The sequence below is a fragment of the Homo sapiens genome, chromosome 14 (assembly GCF_000001405.40).
Source record: "Homo sapiens chromosome 14, GRCh38.p14 Primary Assembly".
In the NCBI taxonomy this organism is placed as follows: domain Eukaryota; kingdom Metazoa; phylum Chordata; class Mammalia; order Primates; family Hominidae; genus Homo; species Homo sapiens.
In genome coordinates, this window is record NC_000014.9 from 40,075,475 (window position 1) to 40,090,821 (window position 15,347).

Below are 15,347 nucleotides of genomic sequence, written 5' to 3' on the forward strand. Positions count from 1 at the left end.
TTAAAATAATCGTTATTTTAAATGTAATTTCTGACAATATATTATGAGGAGTGTAGTTACAAAAGTATAGAAGAACAGAATGTACCAGTAGAAGTTAACGTAATCTAATTCCTATTATTTTGGGAGTCTTAGAAGCTGGCACATCCACAAATTGTTATTTGGCCTGTATACAAAATGTGTTTCTAAAATGTGTGTTTTAGAAAAATTCACTGTTTAATATGCAGGAATTTTTTAATTCAAAAATATTACTTCTACATGTCTTTGACTACATCTTGGGAAAAAAATGAAATTAAATTCAAATCTGTAGTTGGCTCTACAATCCCTCAAAAAGCTTACAATCTAGTTTTGAAGACAGTGCATATGCATATTAATAAAACAGAGAAACTGAACAAAAGACATGAAACTATGAGAGCAGATTGTGAAATCCACATTCATGAGAAATAGTAGAGATTTTGTAAGCAATGAATTTTCTTTTCAGGGCACGTTTTTTGTCTTCTCATAACTTCTTGGTTTGAAACAGTGATGATCTTATTTTTTTTTGACTAACTTTTTGATATTTCTTAACACAGGAAAGTAGGCTTGTGCTTTACTCAGTTTTAATGGCCTAACCAACTGCATATAAAATGAGAAGAGCTGAGTGTTGTTTAATAAGCAACTTGATATAAACCTCTCCGGTTTAACATCTCTAATGAATGCATTTTTGTTTCCTCCTACCTACCAATATTGTTCCATAATCCTCTTCATTTCATGTGTATGCTTTTGCTTGTTGTTTCTTTTAGCTTAGAATTAAGACCATGCCTCATAAAAAGGAAATATTTGTTGAGTGAGCAAAGCTTTCAGAGGGTTTTACATTTGATATTGCTGATACGCTTCATTGAAAACACTTCAGATTTGAATAGATAGACAGTCTACATTGAACTCTACATAAGATTTGAATATCTGTAGCATTTATTTGCCATTCTGTAGAGTCAAAAGCAGCATTTTTGAGAGAGACAACTTTGTTCTGCTGGTATAATAGTCCGTTTTGTTACTCATAGCCTCCCAGCTGCTGCTTAATGAGATACAAGCATAATTCAGAGAAAAATAGACGAAGAAACCAAGACTATTAGTAGCAAACGATGTAATAAAAATTAGAGAGACAAGAAAATGAGCCACAAAAGGATTTTTTTACCAGGCTACCCTGTGGTACACTCTGATTGCCGGCAGACACAAATCGAGACTCAACACTGCATTCAAGATTTACCAACTGTTAAATTGGCAACTTTATGATGGAAAGAGGAGAGACTTAAATATTCTTGCTGCTCTGGATAGAAGTCATTCTATAGACTGATATTTGTAGCATTTTAACTTCACTAGATAATTGAAAAGATTTTTAATTCATGTACTTTGAATTGTGATAATTGGCAGGAGTATGAAGACTGACAGATAATTTGTAAATAGTGCAATTATTCAAATGTTATAAATTGGTTATTTGTAATATTTTTGAACTATTTAGTATTTAATTACTCATAGGTTAGAGTTAACACTTAGTCCATGTCATATTTTTAAGCTGCATATATAAATTGATAAATAGACAAGCAAATGGAATTCTAGTATACACATAGACTAGTGTCTACTCACCCGAAAGATGCTAGTCTTTCATTTTTTTGAAGAAAGTCTATTCATGATAATCACCCAAAGTATTTAGTGCTCTGAATGACTGCACTTGGAGGAACTCACTGAGCATAAACACAACTAGTAGGCTATCCCTGAATAGGTCCTATGAGGTATTAAAGATGGCAGATCACAGGGAAACTTCTGCCTTCCAAAGTGTGATGTTATTCAATGGAATTATGATAAAAAGGCATGTTAGTGGAAATGAAAAACTAAATACACAATGGAATGAGATCACAAATCTAAAATTATTTGCAAGATATTTTTCAAATGTGTAAAGCAAAAGCATCTAGATACTCACTGGGTTTTTCAGCAGTGGGGCCTGTTCATCCTGTCAAAAAATATAAGTAACTAATGAAAGACAATTTAAATTATTAAAGTAAGAAAAACATGTTATGCATTTAATAAGCAATGTGTATAAGTAAAAACTGTTTTCATTTTACCTGTCATATATAAGATCTAAGTTATCTCTTATTCGATAGTATCAATTTACATTGATTAAAATAAAAATGTTCCATTTCTCATGCCATTCCTATTAATCTCCATATAATAATTAACATTCTTTGTAAGCTTTGGTGAGTTTTAAAAATTCTTCTATATCCTATTTCTTTTGGGCAGAAGAGATTTCACTCTGATATGAAATGTTAGGTGGTTCACTTTTATGCAGGCAAATGAAGTTTTACCTTCAGTTTCCAAAACAGATGATTGTTTTCCTGTTAAAATCCCTGTGATGAAACTGTATGATCTTTTAAAACAGTAATTTTATTAATCACACTTATACAAAGCATATTATATGTATTTATTTCTTTATCTAATATAAAATATCTATCTTCTAGGATAGATAGATATCTATCTATTTTCCTTTAACTCTGAGCTTTGTGGATGCAGAAAACAGAGACTCCTTGAAATTAATTCTCAAGCACTTGCAGACAGTCTGCTTCGCCTCTGGTGTACTGCTTCTGTCATCTTGGCCATTTTTTATGGTGTAGCTCTATGTTGTTTCATTGTTTATTAAATAATTTGTTCAACTGGTATCTCTTGTTCTAAAAAATTGTCCTTAATATAATGACTGCTTTTCCTTAAGAACTGGTTTCCTTATTTGAAGCAAACCAAGGAAAGTTGTCATGCATGGAAGTTAAGGAGGTGTTTGTTTAGAGAGTTAAGTTTATATAATCACATATTATATAATTTTAAATCCTTATTCTGTAACTTCATTTAGAGACATTGTTATGATTAATGAGGTAGCTCATTAAAATTGCTGTACTTGTTACTTAGACTTTGCTGAAATTAGTTCACTAGAGCACTGATGTATACTTCCGGAGGTCTAAGTTTCACATATAACTTCAACACTGAATAAATATGTGACCTTGAGTAAATCTTCTCATCTTTAGTGGACTGCATTTACATATCTTTAATGAAATATTAATAGTGAGACTGTGTGTGTGTCTGTGTATGTGTATGCGTGTGCCCTTGAGGGTGGTTTTACATGTAAATAATTTAGAAATTAATTTTTTTATAACTTCAAATTTAATTATTAAAGTTCTAAACAAAAACCTAGCTCTTAAGCTTTAAGTTTGAAAATATTTTTTATCCTAATTCTAAAAATCAACATACTGTTTTAATCACGGCCAAAGGTGGTTGAATATTTGGTCCCATTAAAAGACTTAGTATTCGTTCTTTAGAATTTTACATAAGTTAAATATCATGTATAAATGTGATATATTTAATTTTCCTTTAAATATTTTAATTTCCTGATGGATAAACACTTTAATAAACTAAATAACTCTTATAAACCTAACATATAAAACTTATAGTAAAATTTATATTCACTTAATATTGTAATAGATAAAATTGGTTCTGTTTCAACTTAAATCACAAATGTGAAGCATTTATTCAAGTATACATTTTAAATTAGCATTATTAAAGTTTACTCTAATTTTCAAAAATTCCTTGAACATTAGAAATGAACAAAATATGTATATATGTTTTAATATATTATTGTTTTAATTCTGTAAATATTTTATACTTAATTATAAATTAATAAATATAAATTAATTTTAATTTATAATTATGTTTTTCTTGGTTGACAGATGCTTAAAAGAAATGGTTACATTATTTTGCCCACATAATTTAGTGTAGCCTTTTAATTTTCTGGAGAAAACGCTAAGATGTCAAGTATGAAAACAGGATTCTTATCGAAGTCATTCTTTAAAGTAGCTTCCACGTGGGGGTGGTCACCTATTTTCATGCAAACTGTAGATTAATTATATAATTTTTGTCTACTCACAGATCATGTCAGTTTTTCACAGGACTTAGGGCCTTTTGTTTCTTTGACTCTCAAAATACGTAAATGTATTTTCCAGCAAACTCTATAGACATTTATACTTGCTGAAATATTTCACATTTTCTTATTTTTAGAACCACACTAATTTTTTAAATTAATAAATGATTAAATTTTGGATACATTTCATTGCTCCAGATGATTATTCAGTTATAAGATCATCCTAATGATGACATAAAAGATCATTTAGCAACATTTTCAGCATTAATATTTCAACTCACTTAAAATTTGATTGTACTTTTACTATGCACAGGAATACTTCCAAGAATTTGAAGGAATAAAAGGTTCATCATAATCTGGTCATTCAGGGAACTAAAAATTAAAGAAGAAATAAGCAAGTCTCTTAAAGTAGAATTCAAATGCAACAAAATATATGGTATTTCTATGGATAGAAGTACAGATGACCCTGAACAACATTGCTTGAAATGTGCAGGTTCCTTTATATGCAGATTGTTTTAAATAAATACATTGGAGAGATTTTGGAGATCTGTGACAATGTGAAAAAAAAACTCCTAGATGAATCTCTACCCCTGAGACAGCAAGACCAAGCCCTCCTCTTTCTCACTCTCCTACTTGGCCTACTCAAGTTGGAGGCCTTTATGATGATCCACTTCCACTTAACAAATAGTAAATATATTTTCTCTTATGACTTTCTGAATAACATTTTCTCTAGCTTTATTGCAAGAATACAGCATATAATACAGATAACATACAAATTATGTGTTAATCAACTGTTTATTTTATTGGTAAGGCTTCTGGTCAACAGCAGGCCATTAGTAGTTAGGTATTTGGGGAACCAAAAGTTATATACGGATTGTAGACTCTGCAGAGGGTTGGTATCCTTAACCCCAACATTGTTCAAGGGTCAACCTTACTATCTGCATTTTTAAAGGGAGAATTTATTATTAACAAGGTAACACTAGATATGCATCTAGAGAAATAAGTTTAGAAGTTTATGGCTTAGTTTAGAAGAACTGATATGAGGGTGAAGGGCAAAAATTAAAAAAGACTTTAACTTAAAAGACTTTAGTAGATATGGTACCAGCTCCTCTTTGTACCTCTGGTAGAATTCAGCAGTAAATCTGAGTAATCCTAGGCTTTTTTGGGGGGTTGGTGGCCTCAATTTTAGAACTAGTTATTGGTCTATTTGGGGATTCAATTTCTTCCTGGTTCAGTCTTGGGAGGGTGTATGCATCCAGGAATTTATCCATTCATTCTTGATTTTATAGTTTATTTGCATATAGGTATTTATAGTATTCTCTGATGGTTGTTTGTATTTCTATGGGTCAGTGGTGATATCACCCTTATCACTTCTGATTGTGTCTATTTGATTCTTCTCTCTTCTGTATTAGTCTGGCTAGTGGTCTATCTATTTTATTAATTTTTCAAAAAACCCCAGCTCCTTGATTCATAGATTCTTTGAAGGTTTTCTTTTTGTTTGTCTCTATCTCCTTCAGTTCTTCTCTGATCTTGGTTATCTCTTGCCTTCTGCTAGCTTTGGGGTTTGCTTGCTCTTGGTTCTCTAGTTCTTTTAGTAGTGATGTTAGATTGTCAATGTAAGATATTTCTAGCTTGTTGATGTGGGCATTTAGTGCTATAAATTTCCCTCTTAACACTGCATTAGCTGTATCCCAGAGATTTTGGTATGTTGTCTCTTTATTCTCATGAGTTTCAGAGGGTCTGCCTTAATTTCATTATTTATCCAGGAGTCAGTTAGGAGCAGGTTGTTCAATTTCCATATAGTTGTGTGGCTTTGGGCGTGTTTCTCAATCTTGAGTTCTAATTTGATTGTGCTGTGATCTGAGAGACTGTTATGATTTCAGTTCTTTTGATTTGCTGAGGAGTGTTTTACTTCCACTTACGTGATCAATTTTAGAATAAGTATCACGTGGTGATGAGAAGAATGTATATTCTGTTGTATCTGGGTGGAGAGTTCTGTAGGAGTCTTTCAGGTCCACTAGATACGGAGCTGAGATCAGATCCTGAATATTTTTGTTAATTTTCTGTCTTGATTACCTGTCTAATATTGTCAGTAGGGTGTTAAAGTCTCCCACTATTATCGTGTGAGACTATAAGTCTCTTTGTAAGTTGCTAAGAACTTTCTTTATTAATCTGGGTGCTCCTGTGTTAAGCACATCTGTATTTAGGAAAGTTAGTTCTTCTTGTTGAATTAAATTCTTTACCATTATGTAAGGCCCTTCTTCTTCTTCTTTTTTTTTTTTTTTGCTTTAATCTCATTGGGTTAAAATCTGTTTTGTCAGAAGCTAGAATTGCAACTGCTGCTTTTATCAAAGAGGAGCTGGTACCATTTCTACTGAAACTATTCTAAACAATGGAAAAGGAGAGACTCCACCCTAACTCATTTTATGAGACCAGCATCATCCTGATACTAAAACCTGGCAGAGATACAACAAAAAAAAGAAAACTTCAGGCCAATGTCCCTGATGAACATCAATGCAAAAATCCTCAATAAAATACTAGCAAACCGAATCCGGCAGCACTTCAAAAAGCTTATCCACCACAATCAAGTCAGCTTCACTCCTGGGATGTAAGGTTGGTTTAATATATGCAAATCAATAAATGTAATTCATCGCATAAACGGAACTAAAGACAAAAACCACATGATTATGTCAATAGACACCAAAAAGGATTTTGATAAAATGCAACATCCATTCATGTTAAAAACTCTCAATAAATTAGGTATTTAAGGAACATACCTCAAAGTAATAAGAGCCAGTGAAGACAAACCCACAGCCAATATACTGAATGAGCGAAAGCTGGAAGCATTGCCTTTGAAAACTGGCACAAGACGAGGATACCCTCTCTCACCACTCCTGTTCAACATAGTATTGGCAGTCCTGGCCCGGGCAATCAGGCAAGAAAAAGAAATAAAGCGTATTCAAATAGGAAGAGAGGAAGTCAAATTGTCTCTGTTTGCAGATGACAGGATTCTATATCTAGAAAACCCCATCATCTCAGCCCAAAAGCTTCTTAAGCTAATATGCAACTTCAGCAAAGTCTCAGGATATGAAATCAATGTGCAAAAATTGCTAACATTCCTATACACCAGCAACAGGTATGCAGAGAGCCAAATCATGAATGAACTCCCATTCACAATTGCTTCAAAGAGAATAAAATGCCTAGGAATACAGCTAACAAGGGAAGTGAATGATTTCTTTAAGGAAAGCTACAAACCACAGCTCAAGAAAATCAGAGAGGACACGAACAAATGGAAACATATTCCATGCTCATGGATAGGGAAGAATCAATATTATGAAAATGGTCATAGTGCCCAAAGTAATTTATAGATTTAATGCTTTTCCTATTAGACCACCACTGACTTTTTTTGTAGAATTAGGAAAAAAAACTATTTTAAAATTCAAATGGAACAAAAAAAGAGGCCATATAGCTAAAACACTTCTAAGCAAAAAGAACAAAGCTGGAGGTGTCATGCTACCCACCTTCAAACTATATTGCAAGGCTGCAGTACCCAAAACAGCATGGTACTGGTCCAATAATAGAAACATAGAACAATGAAACAGAATAGAGAACTCAGAAAGAAGACCACGCACTTGCAACCATCTGATCTTCTGACAAAAACAAGCAATGGGGAACAAATTTCCTCTTTAATGAATGGTGCTGGGAGAGCTGGCTAGCCATATCCAGAAAATAGAAACTGGAGCCCTTCCTTACACCTTATACAAAAATTAACTCAAGATGGATTAAAGACTTAAATGTAGAACTCAAAACTCTAAAAACCCTAGAATACCATCTAGGCAATACCATTCAGGACATAGGCATAGGAAAAGGTTTCCTGACAAAAACACCAAAAGCAGTTGCAACAAAAGCACAAATTGACAAACGGGATCTAATTCAAGAGCTTCTGCAAAGCAAAATAAACTATTATCATCAGAGTGAACAGACAACCTAGAGAATAGGAGGAAATTTTTGCAATCTATCCATCTGACAAAGGTCTAATATCCAGAGTCTACAAGGAACTTAAACAAATTTACAGGAAAAAAACAAAGAGCCCCATTAAAATATGGGCAAAGGATGTGAACAGACACTTCTCAGAAGAAGACATTCATGCAGCCAACAAACATATAAAAAAAGCTCAACCTTACTGATCACTACAGAAATGCAAATAAAAACCAAAATGAGATACCATCTCATGCCAGTCACAATGGCAATTATGAATAAGTCAAGAGACAACAGATATTGGCAATGTTGAGCAGAAAAAGGAACAGTTTTATATGGTTGGCGGGAATGTAAATTAGTTCAACCATTGCGGAAGACAGTGTGGTGATTCCTCAAAGATCTAGAAGAAGAAATATCATTTAACCCAGCAATCCTATTACTGGGTATACACCAAGAAGAATATAAATCATTCTGTTATAAGGATACGTGCACGCATATGTTCATTGCAGCACTATTCTTAATAAAAAAGACATGGAGTCAACCCCAATGCCCATCAATGGTAGACTGGATAAAGAAAATGTGATACATATACACTATGGAATACTAGGCAGCATAGAAAGGAATGAAATCATATCCTTTGCAGGGACATGGATGGAGCTGGAAGCTATTATGCTTAGCAAATTAATGCAGGAATGGAAAATCAAATACCGCATGTTCTCATTTATAAGTGGGAGCTGAACGATGAGAACACATGGACACATGGTGAGGGGACAACACCTACTGGAGCCTTTTTTGTTGGGGAGGGAGAGCATCAGGAAGAATAACTAGTGGATGCTGGGCTTAATACCTAGGTGATGGGTTGATCTGTGCAGCAAATCACCATGGCACACGTTTACTTATGTAACAAACCTACACATCCTGCACATGTACTCATGACTTCAGTAGGGCTACAAAGTTAAATTGCTAGATAGTCTAGGAATGGCAATGTAGAACAAGGATGAGAGTGATGTAAAGTTAATGAAGCATATAGATAACTCTACTGAAAATAATCTTGAATACCAGCTAGAGGGCCTAAACTTCATTTATATGCATAAGAAACATAGATCTGACCGTAATGTATTGGGTAAATTTGAGAGTGCTATCCTGTGCCCTGTGGTGTATTCTATAAATGTCAGTCAGGTTAATTTGCTTAATAGGGTTGTTCAGTTATACCACATCTTTATTTCTTTATCAATTATGAAGAGAGAAGTGTCAAAATCTTCAATTGTAATTCTACTTATTTTTCTCTGTTATGCCTGTCCAGTTTTGCTTCATGTATTTTGAAGCTCTTATATTGGGTGCACGTACATTTAATATTGTCATGTGTTCTTGGTGCATTAACTTTTTAACCATTAATTAATTTGTCTCATTATCTATGGTGATATTCTTTGCTCTGAAATCTATTTTATCTGATAGTAAAACAGCCAGTCTTCTTTTATTTAGTGTTAGTCTTGTACATCTCTTTACAACCTTCTATTTTTTTTTCCTTTTTTGACTTCATAATTTAAGTGAGTTACTTGTATATTTGCATGTGGTTTGGTTTTGCTTTTTTTTTTTTTTTTTGAAATGGAGTCTCGCACTGTTGCCTGGGCTGGTGTGCAGTGGCATGATCTTGGCTCACTGTAACCTCTGCCTCCCAGGTTCAAGCAATACTTCTGCCTCAGCCTCCTGAGTAGCTAGAATTACAGGCACCTGCCACCACACCTGGCTAATTTTTTGCGTTTTGTTTTTGTATTTTTAGTAGAGACGGGGTTTCACTATGTTGGCCAGGCTGGTCTTGAACTCCTAACCTCGTGATCCACCTGTCTGGCCCTCCCAAAGTGCTGGGATTACAGGCGTGAGCCACTGCGCCGGGCCTGGTTGTGTTCTTTATCAAATCTGACAACCTGTCATTTTTGGAAGTGTTTAGATCACTTGCATTTAATGTCATTATTGATATGATTGAGTTTCTTGCCTTCATTTTGACTAATTTAATATTAATGTTACATTTAAACTCTGTTATTAAAAAACATTCTTCAGAATTTGTTCTAGAATTTATGCAATCGATTTTTAACTTATCACAGGCTACCTTGAGATAACACCACTTCTGTGTGTACATATATATATACACACACACATATATATACACAGACATTTATATATACATATATATACACATATGTATATATAAAATACTTTAAGTTCTGGGATATATGTGCAGAATGTGCAAATTTGTTACATAGGTATACATGTGCCATGGTGGTTTGCTGCACACATCAACCCATCACCTACATTAGGTATTTCTATTAATGCTATCCCTCCCCTAGCCCCCTGCCCCCCAACAGACCCCAGTGTGTAATGTTCCCCTCCCTATGTCCATGTGTTCTCATTGTTTAGCTCCCACTTATGAGTGAGAACACGTGGTGTTTGGTTTCCTGTTCCTGTGTTAGTTTGCTGAGAATGATGGTTTCCAGCTTCATCCACGTCCCTGCAAAGGATGTGAGCTCATCCATTTTTATGGCTGCATAGTATTCCATGGTGTGTATGTGCCACATTTTCTTTGTCCAGTCTATCATTGATGGGCATTTGGGTTGGTTCCAAGTCTTTGCTACTTTGAACAGTGCTGCAATGAACATACGTGTGTATGTGTCTTTATAGTTGAATGATTTATAATCCTTAGGGTGTATACCCAGTAGTGGGATTGCTGGGTCAAATGATATTTCTGGTTGTAGATCCTTAAGGAATCGCCGCACTGTCTTCCACGATGGTTGAACTAATTTACATTCCCACCACCAGTGTAAAACGTTCCTATTTCTCTACATCCTCTCCAGCATCTGTTGTTTCCTGACTTTTTAATGATTGCCATTCTAACTGGCATGAGATGGTATCTCATTGTTGTTTTGATTTGCATTTCTCCAATGACCAGTGGTGATGAGTTTTTTTTCATATGTTTGTTGGCTGCATAATTATCTTCTTTTGAGAAGTGTCTCTTGATATACTTCCTCCACTTTCTGATGGGGTTGTTTGTTTTTTTCTTGTAAATTGGTTTAAGTTCTTTGTAGATTCTGGATATTAGCCCTTTGTCAGATGGATAGATTGCAAAATTTTTCTCCCATTCCATAGCTTGCCTGTTTATTCTGATGATAGTTTCTTTTGCTGTGCAGAAGTCTTTAGTTTAATTAGATCCCATTTGTCAATTTTGGCTTTTGTTGCCATTGCTTTCAGTGTTTTAGTCATGAAGTCTTTGCCCATCCCTATGTCCTGAATGTTATTGCCTAGGTTTCTTCTAGGTTTTTTATGGTTTTAAGTCTTACATTTAAGTCTTTAATCCATCTTGAGTTAATTTTTGTATAAGATATAAAGAAGGCATCCAGTTTTAGTTTTCTGCATGTAGCTAGCCAGTTTTCCCAGCACCATTTATTAAATAGGGAATCCTGTCCTCCAGTTGCTTGTTTTTGTCAGGTTTGTTAAAGACCAGATGGTTGTAGATGTGTGGCCTTATTTCTGAGGCCTCTGTTCTGTTTCATTGGTTTACATGTTTGTTTTGGTACTAGTACCATGCTGTTTTGGTTACTGTAGCCTTGTAGTATAGCTTCAAGTCAGGTGGCATGGTGTTTGCAGCTTTGTTCTTTTTGCTTAGGATTGTCTTGGCTATATGGGCTCTCTTTGGTTTCATATGAAATTTAAAGTAGTTTTTTCTAATTCTGTGAAGAAAGTCAATGGTAGCTTGGTGGAGATAGCATTGAATCTATAAATTACTTCGGGCAGTATGGCCATTTTCATGATATTGATTCTTCCTATCCATGAGCATGAAAAGTTGTTCCATTTGTTTGTGTTCTCTCTTATTTCCTCGAGCAGTGGTTTGTAGTTCTCCTTGATGAGGTCCTTCACATCCCTTGTAAGTTGGATTCCTAGGTATTTTATTCTCTTTGTAGCAATTATGAATGGGAGTTCACTCATGATTTGGCTCTCTGTTTCTCTTTTGTTGGTGTATAGGAATGCTGGTGATATTTGCACATTGATTTTGCATTGTGAGACTTTGCTGAAGTAGCTTAGCAGCTTAAGGAGATGTTGGACTGAGACAATGGGGTTTACTAAATATACAATCGTGTCATCTGCAAAGAGAGATAATTTGACTTCCTCTCCTCCTATTTGAATACACTTTATATCTTTTTCTTGCCTAATTGCCCTGGCCAGAACTTCCAATACTATGTTGAATAGGTGATAGAGGGCATCTTTGTCTTGTGCTTGTTTTCAAAGGTAATGCTTTCAGCTTTTGCCCATTCAGTATGATATTGGCTGTGGGTTTGTCATAAATAGCTCTTATTATTTTGAGATATGTTCCATCAATACCTAAGTTATTGAGAGTTTTTAGCATGAAGGGGTGTTGAATTTTATCAAAGGCCTTTTCTGCATCTATTGAGATAACCATGTGGTTTTCATGATTGGTTCTGTTTATGCGATGGATTATGTTTATTGATTTGTGTATTTTGAACCAGCCTTGCATCCCAGGGATGAAGCCAACTTGATCATGGTGGATAAGCTTTTTGATGTGCTGCTGGATTTGGTTTGCCAGTATTTTATTGAGGATTTTCATATCAATGTTCATCAGGGATATTGGCCTGAAATTTTCTTTTTTTGTTGTGTCTCTGCCAGGTTTTGGTATCAGTATGACGCTGGCCTCATAAAATGAGTTAGGGAGGACTCCCTCTTTTTCTTTTGTTTGGAATAGTTTAAAAAGGAATGGTGCCAGGTCCTCTTTGTAACTCTGGCAGAATTTGGCTGTGAATCTGTCTGTCCTGGGCTTTTTTTTTGGTTGGTGGGCTATTAAATATTGCCTCAATTTCAGAACTTATTATTGGTCTATTCAAGGATTCGACTTCTTCCTGGTTTAGTCTTGGGAGGGTGTATGTGTCCAGGAATTTATCCATTTCTTCTAGATTTTCTAGTTTATTTGCATAGAGATGTTTATAGTATTCTCTGATAGTAGTTTATATTTCTGTGGGATCAGTGGTGATACCCCATTTATCATTTTTTATTGTGTCTAATTGACTGAGTTTCTTAATCCTGAGTTCTAATTTGATTGCACTGTGGTCTGAGAGACTGTTATGATTTCCGTTCTTTTGCATTTGCTGAGGAGTGTTTTACTTCTGATTATGTGGTCAATTTTAGAATAAGCGCGATGTGGTGCTGAGAATAATGTATATTCTGTTGAGTTGGGGTGGAGAGTTCTGTAGATGGCTATTAGGTCCACTTGGTCCAGAGCTGAGTTCAAATCCTGAACACCCTTGTTAATTTTCTGTCTCGTTGATCAGTATAATATTGACATTGGGGTGTTTAAGTCTCCCACTATTATTGTGTGAGAGTCTAAGTTTCTTTGTAAGTCTCTAAGAACCTGTTTTATGAATCTGGGTGCTCCTGTATTGGGTGCATATATATTTAGGATAGTTAGCTTTTCTTGTTGCATTGACCCCTTTACCATTACGTAATGCCCTTCTTTGTCTTTTTTTAATCTTTGTTGGTTTAAAACGTAATGCCCTTCTTTGTCTTTTTTTAATCTTTGTTGGTTTAAAACCTGTTTTATCAGAGACTGGGATTGCAACTCCTGCTTTTTTTTTTTTTTTTTTTTTTTTTTTTTTTTTTTTGCTTTCCATTTGCTTGGTAGATCTTCTTCCATCCCTTTATTTTGAGCCGATGTGTGTTTTTGCACATGAGATGGGTCACCTGAATACAGCACACTGATGGGTCTTGACTCTTTATCCAATTTGCCAGTCTGTGTCTTTTAATTGGGGCATTAGCCCATTTACATTTAAGGTTAATATTGTTATGTGTGGCAGACACCTCATACAGGAGAGCTCCGGCTGGCATCTGGTGGGTGCCCCTCTGGGACGAAACTTCCACAAGAAGGAACAGTTGGCAATCTGCTATTTTGCAGCCTCTGCTGGTGATACCCAGGCAAACAGGGTCTGGAGTAGACCTCCTGCAAACTCCAGCAGACCTGCTGCAGAGGGGTCTGACTATTAGAAGGAAAACTAACAAACAGAAAGGAATAGCATCAACATCAACAAAAAGGACATCCACACGGAAACCTCAATCGAAGGTCACCAACATCAAAAACCAAAAGTAGATAAATCCACAAAGATGGGGGAAAACCAGCGCAAAAAGGCTGACAATTCCAAAACCCAGAACACCTCTTCTCTAAAGGATCATAACTCCTCACCAGCCAGGGAACAAAACTAGATGGATAATGAGTTTGATGAATTGACAGAAGTAGGCTTCAGAATGTGAGAAATAACAAACTCCTCTGAGCTAAAGGAGCATGTTCTAACCCAATGCAAGGAAGCTAAGAACCTTGAAAAAAGGTTAGAGGAATTTCTAACTAGAATCACCAGTTTAGAGAACATAAATGACCTGATGAAGCTGAAAAACACAGCAAGAGAACTTCATGAAGCATCCACAAGTATCAATAGTTGAATCGATCAAGCAGAAGAAAGGATATCAGAGACTGAAGGTCAACTTAATGAAATAAAGTGCAAAGCAAGATTACAGAAAAAAGAATGAAAAGCAATGAACAAAGCCTCAAGAAGTATGGGGCTATGTGAAAAGACCAAATCTACATTTGATTGGTTTACCTGAAAGTGACGGGGAGAATGGAACCAAGTTGGAAAACACTCTTCAGGATATTATCCAGGAGAACTTCCCCAACCTAGCAAGATAGGCCAACATTCAAATTCAGGAAATACAGAGAACACCACAAAGACAGTCCTCGAGAAGAACAACCCCAAGCAACATAATCATCAGATTCACTAATGTTGAAATGAAGGAAAAAGCATTAAGGCCAGCCAGACAGAAAGGTCGGGTTACCCACAAAGGGAAGTCCATCAGACTAACAGGGGATCTCTCTGCAGAAACCCTACAAGCCAGAAGAGAGTGGGGGCCAATATTCAACATTCTTAAAGAAAATAATTTTCAACACAGAATTTCATAGCTAGCCGAACTAAGCTTCATAAGCGAAGGAGAAATAAAATCCTTTCCAGACAAGCAGATGCTGAGAGACTTTTTTCATCACAGGGCCTGCCTTACAAGAGCTCCTGAAGGAAGCCCTAAACATGGAAAGGAAAAACCAGTACTGGCCACTGCAAAAACATGCCAAATTGTAAGTCCATTGACACTATGAAGCAACTGCATCAATTAATCTGCAAAATAATCAGCTAGTGTCATAATGACAGGATCAAATTCACTTCTGTGTAGTATAAGAAACTTACAACAGTATTCTATTTATTCCCTTACACTTGCGTTTTGCTGTCATGAATTTTTCTTTTACATAAATTAAAAACTACATAATTCTGTATTATTATTTTTGCTTTAGCTGTAAGTTATATTTTAAGTAAATTTAAAATTAGAATTTCTTAACATT